Source organism: Homo sapiens, chromosome 15 (assembly GCF_000001405.40).
Source record: "Homo sapiens chromosome 15, GRCh38.p14 Primary Assembly".
In the NCBI taxonomy this organism is placed as follows: domain Eukaryota; kingdom Metazoa; phylum Chordata; class Mammalia; order Primates; family Hominidae; genus Homo; species Homo sapiens.
This window is the reverse complement of record NC_000015.10, coordinates 33878265-33894872: the sequence shown is the minus strand read 5'-3', so window position 1 is coordinate 33894872 and position 16608 is coordinate 33878265. Positions and strand designations below refer to the sequence as shown.

Here is a 16608-nt window from a genome sequence, read left to right as displayed (position 1 = left end):
GCAATTAAAACAGCATTCTATTATTATTATTATTATTATTATTGTTATTATTTTTTTTTTTTTGAGATGGTGTCTCACTCTGTCGCCCAGGCTGGAGTGCAGTGACGTGATCTCCGCTCACTGCAAGCTCCGTCTCCCGGGTTCACGCCATTCTCCTGCCTCAGCCTGCTGAGTAGCTGGGACTACAGGTACACGCTGCCATGCCCACCTAATTTTTTGTATTTCTGTAGAGATGGGGTTTTACCGTGTTGCCCAGGTTAGTCTTGAATTCCTGAGCTCAGGCAGTCCCCCTGCCTCGGCCTCCCAAAGTGCTAGTGAGCCACTGTGCCCGGCCGATGATTTTTTTTTTTTTTTTTTAAGAGAAAAACCCTATCCACCCCAACTGCCTGTGTTCTTCTACTTTATTAAACTTTTAGTTACATTTTTAGTATTAGCTGTCAGTGGTTTCAGTTTCATTTACCAGAAAAGAGGAGTAAGATCCTAATGAAGGCCTGTCAGTGCCTTCCTGTTATGTAGCTGCAGTATCCAGTGCGTGTTCTTTCTGGAGATTGGGCAGAGTTCAGTGGCTCCTTCCTGGTTCTGCACTTTTGGTGCTGGTAGTGCTATTTAAAATTCTTGGCATCAGTCAGGCGCAGTAGCTCACACCTTTAATCCCAGAACTTTAGGAGTCCGAAGTGGGCAGATCACCTAAGGTCAAGAGTTTGAGATCAGCCTGGCCAACATAGCGAAACCCCATCTCTACTAAAAATACAAAAATTAGCCGGGTGTGGTTGTGCTGACTTGTAGTCCCAGCTACTGGAGAGGCTGAGGCAGGAGAATCACTTGAGCCCAGGAGGTGGAGGTTGCAGTGAGCCGAGATCACGCCATTGCACTCCAGCCTGGGCAACAGAGCTAGACTCTGTCTCAAAAAAAAAAAAAAAATCTTGGCATCAAGGTTGCTCCTCCTTCTCATTCTTTTCTGTTTGAAAAGCCTTGAGTTGGAACTTGGTGTCACTGATGAATTGATGGAACACCGTGACCACACTCTATTCCAACTGCTTCTTTGATTTATTGCACATTTGGTCTGAGCCAGAAGTAGCTAATCAGAGGGGCTGCATAAGCACAGCAGGGAACCCAGAGAGTGCACACCCCTTTCTGCTTTTCCTATCACCAGCTTTAAGATGCTTCAGGTAGAGTTCACTTTGCTAGTAGTGGTGATGCCAGTTTTTATTCAGGAAAGAAAGTCCAAAAAGAACAAAAGTAAATTTCAAAAGAATTCACATTATGCATTGCAAACAATAGTTTAAAAACAGAATATTCAGGAAAATACTACTTTGCTTGTTTCTTTTTTTCCACCCAAGCTGGAGTACTGGGGTGTGCTCATACCTCACTGTAGCCCCCAACTCCTGGGCTCAAGCTATCTTCACAGGTAGCAGGGATTACAGGTGTGAGCCACCACGCCCTGCAAATACTACTTTCTGATATAAGCAAGGCTGGTGTTTGTATGAATTTCTTCCTACATGTTAAAATTTCTGTGGAGATACAGCCAATATCATACTGAATGGGCAAAAACTGGAAGCATTCCCTTTGAAAACTGGCACAAGACAAGGATGCCCTCTGTCACCACTCCTATTCAACATAGTGTTGGAAGTTCTGGCTGGTGTAATCAGGCAGGAGAAAGAAATAAAGGGTATTCAGTTAGGAAAAGAAGAAGTCAAATTGTCCCTGTTTGCAGATGACATGATCGTATATTTAGAAAACCCCATTGTCTCAGCCCAAAATCTCCTTAAGCTGATGAGCAACTTCAGCAAAGTCTCAGGATACAAAATCAATGTGCAGAAATCACAGGCATTCCTATATACCAATAACAGACAGAGAGCCAAATCATGAGTGAACTCCCATTCACAATTGCTACAAAGAGAATAAAATACCTAGGAATCCAAATTACAAGGGATGTGAAGGACCTCTTCAAGGAGAACTACAAACCACTGCTCAACAAACTAAAAGAGGACACAAACAAATGGAGGAACGTTCCATGCCCACGGGTAGGAAGAATCAGTATTGTGAAAATGGCCATACTGCCCAAGGTAATTTATAGATTCAGTGCCATCCCCATCAAGCTACCAATGACTTTCTTCACAGAATTAAAAAAAAAAACTACTTTAAAGTTCATATGGAACCAAAAAAGAGCCCACATTGCCAAGACAATTCTAAGTAAAAAGAACAAAGCTGGAGGCATCACGCTACCTGACTTCAAACTATACTACAAGGCTACCAAACAGCATGGTGCTGGTACCAAAACAGAGATACAGACCAATGGAACAGAACAAAGCCCTCAGAAATAACACCACACATCTACAACCATCTGATCTTTGACAAACCTGACGAAAACAAGCAATGGGGAAAGGATTCCCTATTTAATAAATGGTGCTGGTAAAACTGGCTAGCCATATGTAGAAAGCTGAAACTGGATCCCTTCCTTACACTTTATACAGAAATTAATTCACGATGGATTAAAGACTTAACTGTTAGACCTAAAACCATAAAAACCCTAGAAGAAAACCTAGGCAATACCATTCAGGACATAGGCATGGGCAAGGACTTCATGGCTAAAATGCCAAAAGCAATGGCAACAAAAGCCAAAATAGATGAATGGGATCTAATTAAACCAAAGAGCTTCTGCACAGCAAAAGAAACTACCATCAGAGTGAACAGGCAACCTACAGAATCGGAGAAAATTTTTGCAATCTACCCATCTGACAAAGGGCTAATATCCAGAATCTACAAATAACTCAAACAAATTTACAAGAAAAAAACAACCCCATCAAAAAGTGGGCAAAGGATATGAACAGACACTTCTCGAAAGAAGACATTTATGCAGCCAACAGACACACGAAAAAATGCTCATCATCACTGGTCATCAGAGAAATGCAAATCAAAACCACAATGAGATACCATCTCATGACAGTTAGAATGGCGATCATTAAGAAGTCAGGAAACAACAGATGCTGGAGAAGATGTGGAGAAATAGGAATGCTTTTACTTTGTTGGTGGGAGTGTAAATTGGTTCCACCATTGTGGAAGACAGTGTGGTGATTCCTCAAGGATCTAGAACTAGAAATACCATTTGACCCAGCCATCCCACTACTGGGTATATACCCAAAGGATTATAAATCATTCTACTATAAAGACACATGCACACCTATTTTTATTGTGGCACTGTTCACAATAGCAAAGACTTGGAACCAACCCAAATGTCCATCATTGATAGACTGGATTGAGAAAATGTGGCACATATACACCATGGAATACTATGCAGCCATAAAAAGGATGAGTTCATGTTCTTTGCAGGGACATGAATGAAGCTGGAAACCATCATTCTCAGCAGACTATCACAGAAAACCAAACACCACATGTTCTTATTCACAGGTGGGAACTGAACAATGAGAACACTTGGACACAGACAGGGAGGGGAACATCATACACCAGGGCCCGTCAGGGGGTGGGGGACTGGGGGAGGGATAGCATTAGGAGAAATACCTAATGTAAATGACGAGTTAATGGGTGCAACAAACCAACATGGCACATGTATACCTATATATCAAACCTGCACGTTGTGCACATGTGCCCTAGAACTTAAAGTATAATAAAAACAAACCATTAAAAAATAGTTAATACAATATAAAACAAAATTTCTGTGGGGATAAATTTCTAAAGCTTGCTTATTACCAACAAGGGGAATGTTTAAAAGCCAGACATTTTAGTATATCTTTTAGGATTTTTTTTTTTTCCAGACAGAGTCTCACTCTGTTGCTGGAGTGCAGTGGTGTGATCTCGGCTCACTGCAACCTTCGCCCCCTGGCCTCAAGCAATCCTCTCATCTCAGCCTCTCAAGTAGCTGGGACTACACATGTGCACCACCACGCTCCGCTAATTCTTTAAATTTTTGGTAGTGATGAGTTCTCACTATGTTGCCCAGGCTGGCCTCAAATTTCAGGGCTCTCATGATCCTCTTCAGCCTCCCAAAGTGCTGGGATTACAGCTGTGAGCCACCATGCTTGGCCAGTTTTACCTTTGTAATGGTCATGTTCATAGCTCATCAGCTAGTAAGTTTGCACTGTTCACTTGTCTTGGATAGTGGTAATTGCTGGAATATTACATTTTGAGATCCATCCTTAGTTTCTTTTCATCTTTCTCCCTTTTTGAGAGTGGTTTAAGAAAATTCTAATTGAAGATCTCTGCCATTTTTTTCTCCTTCCCACTTGTTCTTATTTGAGTTATTTGATTTACTAGAAATTTCTGGTTGCAAACAGAATTCTGTATTTTACATTTTTGCCCTATACTTTTGGCAAGCTTCATGAAAGTAACATGATTTCCCCCCTTATTTCTCTGTTTCCTTATCCCCTTTATGGCACATAGACTACTGATGTTCATTTGTTGATTTTGTTTAGCCTTGTATTCTTGTTCGTTTGCTCATTTATTCTTGCATGCATATATTTACGCATTATTATTTCCCTCCTTCCTAAATGCACATTTACTAACTGCCTACTGTGTGCCAGGCACCGCACCAGTCACAAGAGTAGTAATAAAAACTGGGCTCTGACAGTTAACAGTGCTTTACTGAAGATGTGTACATTGCAGAAATCATGTTGGCTTTGTGTGGAGCTAGGCAGCATCGAGCCCCAACTAAGATAAGATCACTATATACCTCAGACTACTGAACATATAATGTGTATTATCCCTTGAGGAAGTAAAAAAACCAGAAAACCAAAAAATGTTTTGCATCAATGAACAAAAACCTAGACACTATCAGTGATGCACAAACATCTCCAGAGAAGATCAGTTTGGCACGTCGGAGAGGGAACTCGCCTTGACACCTTGTGGCCACTTGGTTTTCTGTGAAGTTTGGAATCGGTAGAATGTAGGGTTTGTATCTACCTTGCCGTACCTTGACCCCATTGGTGGAGAGCACATTTGTTTGCACATCATTTTCAGGACCAAGCTTCGAGTCTCCCCTCTAATGGTATGCCCGATTTTCTATAAATGTATGCTGTGACAAGAAGCCACAGCTGCTCCGTTAGTCTCAAAGGACATGACCTGAAAAAGAATAAAAATCAGATTGCACATATTTGCTCTAATTTTTGACAGGAAGGCTAAACAAAACATTTAAAAATTCAAATTACTCTGTATGTCATTTGCCCATTTAAATCACAGCTCTGTAGAATACTGTTTTTCAAAACTAAAAATAAAAGAAAACCTAATGAGATGAGAAGGCAAGTTGGATGCGTATTTTTTTTTGTGCAGAAACATATTTCATGTCCATTGGGTTGAATAGGAGGGGGAAGAGGCAGAGAAACAGATAACTTAAGATTTACATTGTAGTGTCAGACAGGTGTATTCAAGGGACATTATGGACGTCCTAATTAGTCTAATATTATTTTAGAGTTTTCAGCTAAGCTCATAGTGTGCACAAAAACAAACAGAACAGACTCACAAGCCAACAGTGGGGAGAGCAATAAAAGCAAGAAATCTGCTGGATACTTACAGAAATGATCTTGGCATTGGTGGGAAAAGGTTTTGTTATACTGACAGAGATTAAAAGACTAGCATTATTTGAATAATGTGGTTTTAGAGTTTTTGAATTTATATGTCATTTAAAGTCTTTGTAGTACAGCAGTCAAAAAAGATGCCCATTTTTATGATTTTGTTAATAGATTTTTCATGTTTGTATTTAGAAATCTGGAAGATGTTCAAAATATTAAATGATAATTTTCTGAAAGATATTTTCAAGTATATACAAATTAAAATAATAATTTTAAAATATCTGTAAGACGTACATCTCACCTGAGTTATATGAAAATAGCAAAAAAGAATTCCAGGCTGGGTGTGGTGGCTCATGCCTGTAATCCCAGCACTTTGGGAGGCCGAGGCAGGTGGATCACGAGGTCAAGAAATTGAGACCATCCTGGCCAACTTTAGCTGGGCGTGGTGGCATGCGCCTGTAGTCCTAGCTACTTGGGGAGGCTAAGGCAGGAGAATCACTTGAACCAGGGAGTCGGAGGTTGTAGTGAGCCAAGATCGCGCCACTGCACTCCAGTCTGGTGACAGAGTGAGACTCCATCTCACACACACACACACAAAAAAAGAATTCCAAAAGTATTTTCCATAGGCAATTTAAAATTAATATTAATCACACTGGATATAAATAAATATTAAATATATTGACTATAAAACATTAACAATAATTTGATTGGAGTTACATTGACTATAAACATTAATATTGACATCTTTACAGTTGTAAAGTTTCATCCAGGAATGTTCCACTTTTCCATTTATACCTCTGTCCTTATCTTTACCTTGTTCACATTTTATGCTCTAGTAACAGCAAATTGCTTGCACATCCCACAGTACCTGCATTTTCTCCTTTCTGATTTTGGCCCTTCTTTTAGTTACCATCTCCTTCTGGCTTTTTGCCTGGGCAGCTCTTTGTTTTCCGTCGGATCAGGTGTCACTTCTCCTAGGAAGCCTCACTGACTCTGCCCCAACCTGGATTCACTATGCCCCCCTTCCCCCTGCCACACACACACACAATGCTCCCATAAGACTTTGTGTCTGTCATTGCATGTTCTGTAACTGCTTATTTATGTGATCCTTAACTCATTAGGGTATGGCACTAATCTATTTAATTTTATATTTTCAGCACTTAATACAGTATCTGGCTCTTAACAAATTTTTGTTAAATGAATAATCAAGGATCTTTCTGTGTAGCTTTATATTTTTTTTCATATAGGTCTCACCCATTCTTAAGGTTTTGTTGCTGTCACGGAGGGGTTACTTTTTTCTCCTTAAAGTTATTACTTGTTTATATTGGTAGTATGTGGGAAAGTTCTTTCTCATCTGCTCTCCCTGAGGGTGAACTAGGTGTGGTTGCAAGATTGCTGATGGTGTTGTTGGGCTTTCAACTCCAGGCATTGGACCCGGAAGCTTTGATTATTTGTATGGTGGTTTTCACCAACAAAGTTAACTAATACTCAACATTTTAGGTGTCAGACAAGTTATTAGTAAGACACATAAGCTTCTTGGTGGACCAAATCTTTTCTAAATAAATTAGTATCACGAGCATATCATTGTGTGTATAAAATAATAAAGGGAGAGAATGTGACCCCCTCTAAGTCCTTGAGGAAAGAATTCAGATTTCCTTTAAGTTTCTTTTTTTCTGTTTCATGTAGTCTTCTCTTGTCTTGTTCAACTCAGAGTCTGTCTGAGAATAAGGAGAGCAGGAGTGTATCTTCTATATTTATGTTATTAACATACAATAGTGTTTGGCACATAGTTGTGCTAAAATGTATGAAAAATGAAAATTAATAAATAGAATCATCACTCCTGAAGTCATTCCCATTTTCCCCTAGAAAGGTAGTAAACAATATTTATTTTGGTAAAAGCTGTTACATTCTGCTGGAAACTAGAATTTTACCCCATAATTACCCTATGTTAGAACTGAAAAAAATGTTGAAAGGCACATTGTCTAAAATTCCAGTTTGAGAAGTCTGAATATTACAAGTTTTCAAAATGGTTGGGAGACAACTCATGGTTTAGTGAGCACAATCCCTCCCCTAGAAGCTGACCCTTATTAACTAGCTATTTCTCAAGTAGTTTGGTCCCATAACTTGTCACAGAGAGTATTTGCTTCCTAACCCCATAGTCATTCTCCCTTTTTCTCTGTGGTAATAGAACCTCTGATTCTTATCTGGACTCATGGCCACCCGAAAAAAATTATCTTACATACTTTGTGGTTTGATAGAACTATGATGTATTTCTTATACTTACAATATAGCTCTGTCCAAAAGAGAAATGAGTGCAAATGTTCTATTGTAGTTTCTAGAAAACCTTAATTGATAGATGCTGCATGCCTTCTGCCCCCTTTTCTTCAACTATTTTTCCATCTCGCTGCCTGGAATTTTGATGGGATAGCAGGAGCTCTGGTTCTCATATTGGACTGTGGCAAGAAGGGCCTCCCCAGGCATGGCAGAGCAATAGGGGGAGCCTGGGCCACCATACCAGCCTTTGACTGCTGGACTCTGTACTTCATTTAGTTGACAAATGTATTAGTCAATTCTCACACTGCTCTAAGGACATACCCAAGACTGGATAATTTATAAAGGAAAGAGGTTTAATTGACTCACAGTTCTGCAGAGCTGCGGAAGCCTCAGGAAACTTACAGTCATGGTGGAAGGGGAAGTAGACATGTTCTTCTTCACAAGGTGGCAGGAGAGAGAAGAATGAGAGCTGAGTGAAGGGGGAAGCCCCTTATAAAACCATCAACTCTCCTTTGGGAGGCTGAGGTGGGCGGATCACGAGGTTAGGAGATCGAGACCATCCTGGCTAACATGGTGAAACCCCATCTCTACTAAAAATACAAAAAAATTAGCCGAGTGTGGTGGCACATGCCTGTAGTCCCAGCTCTTTGGGAGGGTGAGGCAGGAGACTCACTTGAACCTGGGAGGCGGAGGTTGCAGTGAGCTGAGATAGTGCCAGTACACTCCAGCCTGGGCGACAGAGCGAGACTCCATCTCAAAACAAAAAACCATCAAATCTTGTCAGAACTTACTATCATGCGAATAGCATGGGGAGACCGCCCCCCATGATTCCGTTATCTCCCACTGGGTCCCTTTCATGACTCGTGGGGATTATGGGAACTACAATTCAAGATGAGATTTGGGTGGGGACAGAGCCAAACCATATCAACAGAGATAGAATCTTTTATCTTGTTTGGGCCGTGATATACAGGTACAGGTCTTTGTTACATGCAGCCAGAGCTTATCCTGACACACTATACTACAGATCAGTTCTAAGATCTTATGACTTCATTGCCCATCCAAAGACTGATCTTTGTATTCCCTTATTTATTCAGCTTTGTCAAGTCATCTACTCTCATCTTGGAGTTCTGTGCCAGGGTTTGATGCTGGCCTTGTTCTGAAGGTGATTGATCTGACAATTTTTACTAGGTCATATACAGTGGTACAGGGTTAACAGAATAGTCACCAACTGTTTTGGGGAAAACAGCTGGGTTCTAAATTCCAGAATGTCATCATCCTTTTCTCATAAAGCCTAGAATCCCTTTAAGGTACCTTAGTGTATTTGGCATTTCCTTCAACATAATCCATGCAGATGGGGAAGCAGCTTTTTAATGGCATTGGGAAGATAGGCACAACCTATTATGTAGTGCTCAGTGTGGATGTTCGATGCTCAGGGGCTTTTTGGGCCCTACACTTGGTGAGAAAGCTAATTATAAGTCACTGTTGAGCAGGAGGAGAGATTTTTATTATTATTCTCTTGTTCATTTAGCTCAGCCTAACTTTTAAAATAATCACCGTAGTGACTTGCATAGTCTTCCTCACAAAGACAAAGTGTTAGGTGTCGCTTGTTTTAGGGTAAATATTGAGGTGAAGGACATCACATCTGCATCTACAAAGGCTGAATCATGGAAGCTAGAAATTGGAAGTGGTGAAGAATTTTTATGTCCTGTAGGCTGAGCTGTGGATTTTCCCTGGATTGATCTGTGTCAGCGTGGAGACTTAGGATCCACCTTGACCCTCCAAATATGTCATCTTTCATAGATGAGATTAGAGAAGTTCAGAGAAATGAAAGAGGACATTTTATTTTTGGTAGCAGCCATTGCGGTGACTATTGGACATTCTCTCCTCCTCTGTGAAGATTGGGGTCTTCTCAGCCTTTGTCGACCTATAAAGTTCATTTGTGACTTTTCAGTAACTTGGTGTCCTGGTTGAGGACATGTTCTGCAGGGGCTGTGGGATAGATAAAGGAAGATGATCATGATGAAGAGGAGCCAGGAAAATGGAGCTTAAAATGAAGTACTTATGCAGAATTGGTGACACATTCCTCTGCTTTCTAGAGTTGGTTTCCTAAAGGAGACACCACAAAGATTCAGGTCAATTATATGATTTGAAAGATCCAAATAGCCAGGATGAATGAGTTATGGGAATTGCTACTATCAAATGATCAGAATTGGGTGGTAGGCTTGGGAAGATTTTCCATCTTTCACATTCACTCTTCACATATGCCTGATCTGTATTGTTCATTCTGAAAGTCTTTGCAGGTTTCCTTCTGCCTGAGTAAAGATTGTTCCTTGTAATCTCTGAACTCTCACTGGATAGCTTTGTTAAGTACTTTTGCTTGACTGAAAGCCCTTTTTTTGTTGATAGGGCTGAAAGGGTAAGCTTAAAATTGGCAGCTGTATTATCTATGACTAGATGGTAAGCTTTTTGAAAGCATATTAGTACTGAGGAGTTCTAGCAAGTTTAATGTCCACTTTGCCACTGACCATAAGACATGTGTTAGGCCAGTTTGGGAAGTTAGGCAGAGTGAAAATCCTGGATATTATAAACACAGTGATGGAATTGGTACGACACCTTTATTTCACTAATACTATCATTATTAGAATACTTAGAGTTCTGTAAGACAGACTATTTTTAAAAGTACTATAGGCATAATTTTAGGAAATTCCTGAGGTGATTTCCTAAAAAGAGGAATTCTTTATTTCTTAGTTTGGACTTCCATATCTTCAAACATGTCAACAAATCAAATATTAGTATGTCAACTATCATAAAATATTTCCTGAGCATTTGCTTTTGTTCTGGGGAACTCAAGATAGCCAAGAGGCCTAGCAGAAACAGTGGAAAAAAGAGCTTTACTACTTAATAATTTATTATTGTAAATGCTCTCTGGGCATGGTGGCATGCATCTGTATTTCTAGCTACTTGGGAGGGGAGGCTGAGGTGGGAGGATCCCTTGAGCCCAGGAGTTTGAGAAAAATCGATGCCAGGTTGTCTTTTGGAGAAGCAAAGTTAAAAAATAAAATAACAAATGCTGTGAGCCAAGAGTCTAGGTGTCTAGCCATTAAATGGCTGTGTGGTCTTGGTTAGAACATTGAACTTTCTAGAGCTAAGGTTCTTCACAGCTCTATAAAGTGAGGGTTAGAATGAATGATGTCTGCAGTTCCAACTTTTGAAGTCTCTGAATATTTTGTCTCAAATACATTCTGAGAAGGTCCCTGCCCTCAAGAAAATTGAGCTTTTTCTCTAGATTTTCTTCCATTTTGTTTCGTTCCAAAAGGAAAAATCCTTGTTGTTTACAAAGGATGATTCAACTGGAAAATGTATTGTGTCAAAAGGAAAAGTTTCCTTCAATCCCACATTCTGAGAGATAATCATTTTAAAAATAGGTATTAATTATTTTGACTAATTTCTATGCATAAATTAGTATTTTTTGTGATATACATACTTATATATCTTTATATCTATATATGTATCATTCATACTATACTGAAGCGTGCTTTTCTCATGTAGCAGTTGAGATAATGGGTATCTTTCTGTGTCAGTACATACAGACCTACCAAATGGAGTGCCACTGATTGAATATTGTGGTTCACCAAAACACATTTTGGCCAAATGATCAATATTTAGCTGAAGTTAAAGCTAAATATCATTGTTGTAAAATGGACTACTGGGATACAAGAAAAAAACTCAAATTAAAGACTATATTAAAATTTTAGTAGCCAGATTTAGACAAATGGGCATACTGATTTCTGACCACCGTCAGCTTTTTGGTTATTCCTGTAGTCACCATACACTACACTACACATTTGCAATACTAAAGTTGCTACCTTTTAACTGAGGTGTCTAGAGGAACAAGATGTTGTTTGGCTGGCTCTGCCAGAATAGAGTACTGATGATGGTAAAGTTGTTCCTCAGCAACTACGCTTGTCTTCTCAAATAGTAACTGACTAGGTAAGAACTTGATCTCCTTATCAGCCCCTACCCTTGGAGATTTGTTTTATGGTCATGAGTTTAATGAAGCAATCCTAGAAATTGAAGCATTGTATACTGCTTGAAACATTCTTTCTGAATATTTTCAGAAGCATGTGTAAGATTGCTGCTATCTCTTATATTTATTTCTAATTTTCTTCCGTTTTTGTTTCTTTTGTTTGTTTGTTTGAGACAGGGTCTTGGGTCTTGTTCCGTCACCCAGGCTGGAGTGCAGTGGCATGATGTCAGCTCCACTGCAGCCTCAAACTCCTGGGCTCAAGCAATCTCCCACCTCAGCCTCCTGAGTAGCTGAGACTATAGGTGCGGGCCACTGTACCTGGGTACTTTTATTTTATTTTTTTTAAATAGAGATGAGTTCTCATTTTGTTACCCAGGCTTGTCTTGAATTCCTGGCCTCAATTGATCCTTCCACCTCAGCCTCCCAAAGTGCTGAGATTACAGGCGTAAGCCACTGTACACCCAGCCTTATTTCTATTTTTTTTTTTTAACATTTTTGCTTCTTCACACAATTATTTGATTTAAAAATCTCTTATTAATTTTGGCTCTAGAAATGTGGCAATAGAGCAATGTAGTTGACTTTCAAAATACAACAAAATTGTCTCAATATCTCCTGTGTCTCAGCTTTGATTGCATGTGTGCCAACTTCAGCATTGTTGCTGGAATAGGATGAGATGAGGCTTTTTATCATGTAAGGAAAATGTGAACTCTTCATGTACATCAGTTTTGCTACCCCCTTCCCCCTTTTAAACAGATTCCAGTAAATGCCTTCATAATAAGCAGTCATTGGATTTTGTAGGCCTAATATTTTGGTATTCTTATCTATAAAGTAGTAGAATATTATGGGATTTTTATTGTTTTTTAAGCAGGCTATGTAATAGGCACTAGCTGCTCTTCCATCTTGTTTGAGGATATTATATAAGTACACAACAAGGCCGTTCTACAATATTCTGTAAGTCAGACAGTTGTCTTTACTTGAAGAAGAGGGAAGACAGTGGTATACTCCCTTTGAGCTTCCTAGTTCTTTCTAGTTCTATTCCTTTCACTATGCCCCAATTAATTCAGGACACACAGCTGTTGAATCTTATGACTCCTAAGACACACTTCTCCATGTTTGTTCCCTTGTCAACTACAGTTGGCTGTCACTGTTCTTTTCTGGTTTTCTTCTATACCTTTTAGTCAGATCCACCATGTGTTTAGTATGTGAGAGACCAGGAACTCTTCTGGCAAACAAATAAAGCTGGAGTGGAATGGAATGTGCTGTGAATACCCCTTGCTATCTTACTTAAAGTAGGTTTCTAATTGTCCATGCATGTCCATATGTCTGGTATATAAGATATAAAAGTAGCACATTTGGTGAATCACCATACTTTGTGTGTATGTAACAACACAACGCAGAAGAATTTTGGTAATATGTTTTCTAGAAAGACTTTTAGTTCTAGGATTCATAGTTTCAGGTTTGTACACTTTCATCTTCAATGTGAGAATCAGAGTGGTTGGTATTCTATAGTAGTCATTTTACCAAGTTTACTACTTAAAATTAGCCAGGAAGATCAGTTGAGCCTCAGAGGTCATGGCTGCAGTGAGCTATGATTGTGCCACTGCACTCCAGTCTGGGTGACAGAGTGAGACCTTATCTAAAACATAATAATAAAAGTAGCCTCTAGGCCACATGCAGTGTCTCATACCTGTAATCCTAGCTCTTTGGGAGGTTGAGGTGGTGGATTGTTTGAGGCCAGGAGTTTGAGACCAGTCTGGGCAATATAGCAATACCCCATCTCTACAAAAAATAAATTTGCTGGGCATGGTGGTGTGCACCTGTAGTCCCAGAAACTTGGGAGGCTGAGATGGGGGAGATCACTTGAGTCTAGGAGTTTGAGGCTGCAGTGAGCTCTGATTGTGCCACTGCACTCCAGCCAGGGTGACAGAGTGAGACCCAATCTCCACTAAAATAAAAAAATAAAATAAAATTAGCTTCTATATTCTTTATCTGTAAGGATTTTTAAAAGCCTTCTTTAAATTGTGTTATATTTTGAAGTTTTATTCCTGAAAACAAAATGTGGTAACTTTTGTGGTATTTAGGTAACTCATTTTTCTCTAACATTTTCTTCTTTATATTCTTTATGTGTATTTTATTTTGTGTGCATCAAAGATGCCTTCATGGATGTCATTGTTTATGATGTTCCTAGTTTTTCCTGTTCTTGAAATTTTGACATGGCAAAATTATAAAATCCATGTCTCATGTCCCCAATATCTTAATCTCTGTGGATCTTTTTCAGTTAACTCTTGTTTCTTTTTTCTTTTCTCTTTGTTTTCTACTATTTTGGTCTCATCTTTTGGTAGGCCTGATCGTTTTTAATGAATATTGGACATTGTAAATTAAAAATTATAGAGATCATTGGAGGCTATTGATAGTGTCATTTTCCTCCAAAAATGATTTACTTTTGCTTGTAGGCAGAATCAGAGATTGAGCTCACTCACAGCTGGACCTCAGACTTGGTGAGGGCTGGTCAATTCCTACTTTACTCCTAACTTACAGGATGCAGTCATCAGGGGGTCCCGCCTGAAAGCCTTGGTTTTCCAAGACTCTTCCTCATCCATTGGCCCTGAACTCTAGTTTTTGTCCTCCCAGTGCTGTAAGACTAGCAGAGCTTTCTTCAGCTTTACAACCTCCTGGGTTGTTTTTTAGCCTCTCAATACCACCTTTTGAAAATTGATAAATGCCTTAGGGGGATAAGCAGCCCTAAATGTTACCCTGACCTCCTTGTTTGCTTCTCTTCTCTCCAGGAATTTCATCCAAGTCCTCACTGCCTTGGGAACTCTCATGTCTTCAGATAAGACTTTTCAGGTCTTTTTGGGTAGGGGCGCCTGGTTCCTCGTTCTCAGCAAGACTGGGGGAATAAGATAGTCATTGTTGGATTTTACCCATTTTTTGTTTGTTTGTTTGTTAAGAGGGTTTTATTTTAATGGTTGTTTTAGGGTATACAGTAAATACATAACTTACCAAAATCTACCTTCAGGTGCTATTATATATTCACATATAGTACAAAACCATTATTACATGTTCTTCACCCACCTTCGCTTTTCTGCTTTGTCATATAGTTTGCTTTTATTTTTATTGAAAATCATAATGTATTCTTATTAATTTTTCTCTGAATAGTTCTCTTTATAGACATTACTGTTCTCTTTATAGACATTACATAATACAGAGGTTTCTAATTGATCCAGGTAGCTACTGTATCTGATTTTTCATTTCTTTTTGTCAAACCACATTTCAATGTGGGATCATTTTCTTTCATTTAGGGGTGTCCTTTATCATTTCTAATAGCGAGAGTCTAATGGTGATCAATTCCGTAGGATTTCACATGTCTGAAAAAGTCTTATTTTGCCTCCAGTTTTGAAAGATGTTTCTGGTGGATAAAGAATTCAAGGTTGTTGGATTTTGCATGTTATTATTTTCGAGACATTGCTTCACTATCTTCTTTTTTTTATTTTATTATTATACCTTAAGTTTTAGGGTACATGTGCACAATGTGCAGGTTAGTTACATATGTATACATGTGCCATGCTGGTGTGCTGCACCCATTAACTCGTCATTTAGCATTAGATATATCTCCTAATGCTATCCCTCCCCCCTCCCCCCACCCCACAACAGTCCCCAGAGTGTGATGTTCCCCTTCCTGTGTCCATGTGTTCTCATTGTTCAGTTCCCATCTATGAGTGAGAACATGCGGTGTTTGTTTTTTTGTCCTTGCGATAGTTTACTGAGAATGATGATTTCCAATTTCATCCATGTCCCTACAAAGGACATGAACTCATCATTTTTTATGGCTGCATAGTATTCCATGGTGTATATGTGCCACATTTTCTTAATCCGGTCTATCATTGTTAGACATTTGGGTTGGTTCCAAGTCTTTGCTATTGTGAATAGTGCCGCAGTAAACATACGTGTGCATGTGTCTTTATAGCAGCATGATTTATATTTTACCCATATTTTTAAGTGAACATTCAGATATTAAAAATAAGTATATATAGCATGCCTTTTTTACATTACTGAATCTTGTACCAATTATATATTAATCTGTGAAATCATATGATCATTTCTAATATAGAAGTTCAGGAATGTCAAAAACAACACTGAATAAGGCATTCAGCAATTTGGACAGTTTTAAAAAAATCTATCAGATTTTAAATTCATACATCTGTCATTTACTTCATATATATTAGCAATCATATTTCATATATTCTCCCCTTTTCCTATTTTCCTACTGGATTGCTTTATTCTAATGGATTTGTGGATGTTCTTTGTATCTAATACACAAAGATCTAATATATTATTAGATTAATACGTATTCTTTGCCAATAATATGTGCTACAAACGTTACTTCTCAGCCTGTCATCTTTTGAGTTTGTTGATAATTTCTGTAATTCAAAAAAATTTTCTTTTTATGTATTAAAATTTTTTCAGTAGCCAAAATTTGCCCTACCTGCTTTCTTGTAATAGTGTTATGATTTCCTTTTTTTCTGAACACTTAAATATCTGATTCATACAAAATATGTTTTACATCTGAGAAATGAGATATTGGTAACTAGCCTAGTTTCTCACATGGCTGGTGAGTTGCTTTAACACTGTTAAAGTGATTTCTGCACAGATATCATCTGCCGCTCTTACGATATCTAAGTTTCCATATACCTGGGGCTGTTTCTAGACACTCTTCTGTTCTTATGTTTTTCACCAGTGGCTATCCATTTTATTTATTGAGACTTTTGAATACATTTTTATAAT

At 38.7% G+C, this 16608-nt stretch overlaps 1 protein-coding gene across 11 annotated transcripts in view, besides 2 other annotated features; it reads left to right on the top strand.

The window, feature by feature from the left end:
• The window catches only part of AVEN (apoptosis and caspase activation inhibitor), a 223545-nt gene that overhangs the window by 180453 nt on the left and 26484 nt on the right, over positions 1 to 16608 (top strand). The window lies entirely within an intron of this gene.
• Positions 346 to 465: an enhancer, noted in NCBI's record as "active region_9171". NCBI's record gives its function as "activates an Ori minimal core promoter by ATAC-STARR-seq in GM12878 lymphoblastoid cells {active_cell/tissue: GM12878}" and the evidence as "EXISTENCE:reporter gene assay evidence [ECO:0000049][PMID:35858748]".
• Positions 486 to 555: an enhancer, noted in NCBI's record as "active region_9170". NCBI's record gives its function as "activates an Ori minimal core promoter by ATAC-STARR-seq in GM12878 lymphoblastoid cells {active_cell/tissue: GM12878}" and the evidence as "EXISTENCE:reporter gene assay evidence [ECO:0000049][PMID:35858748]".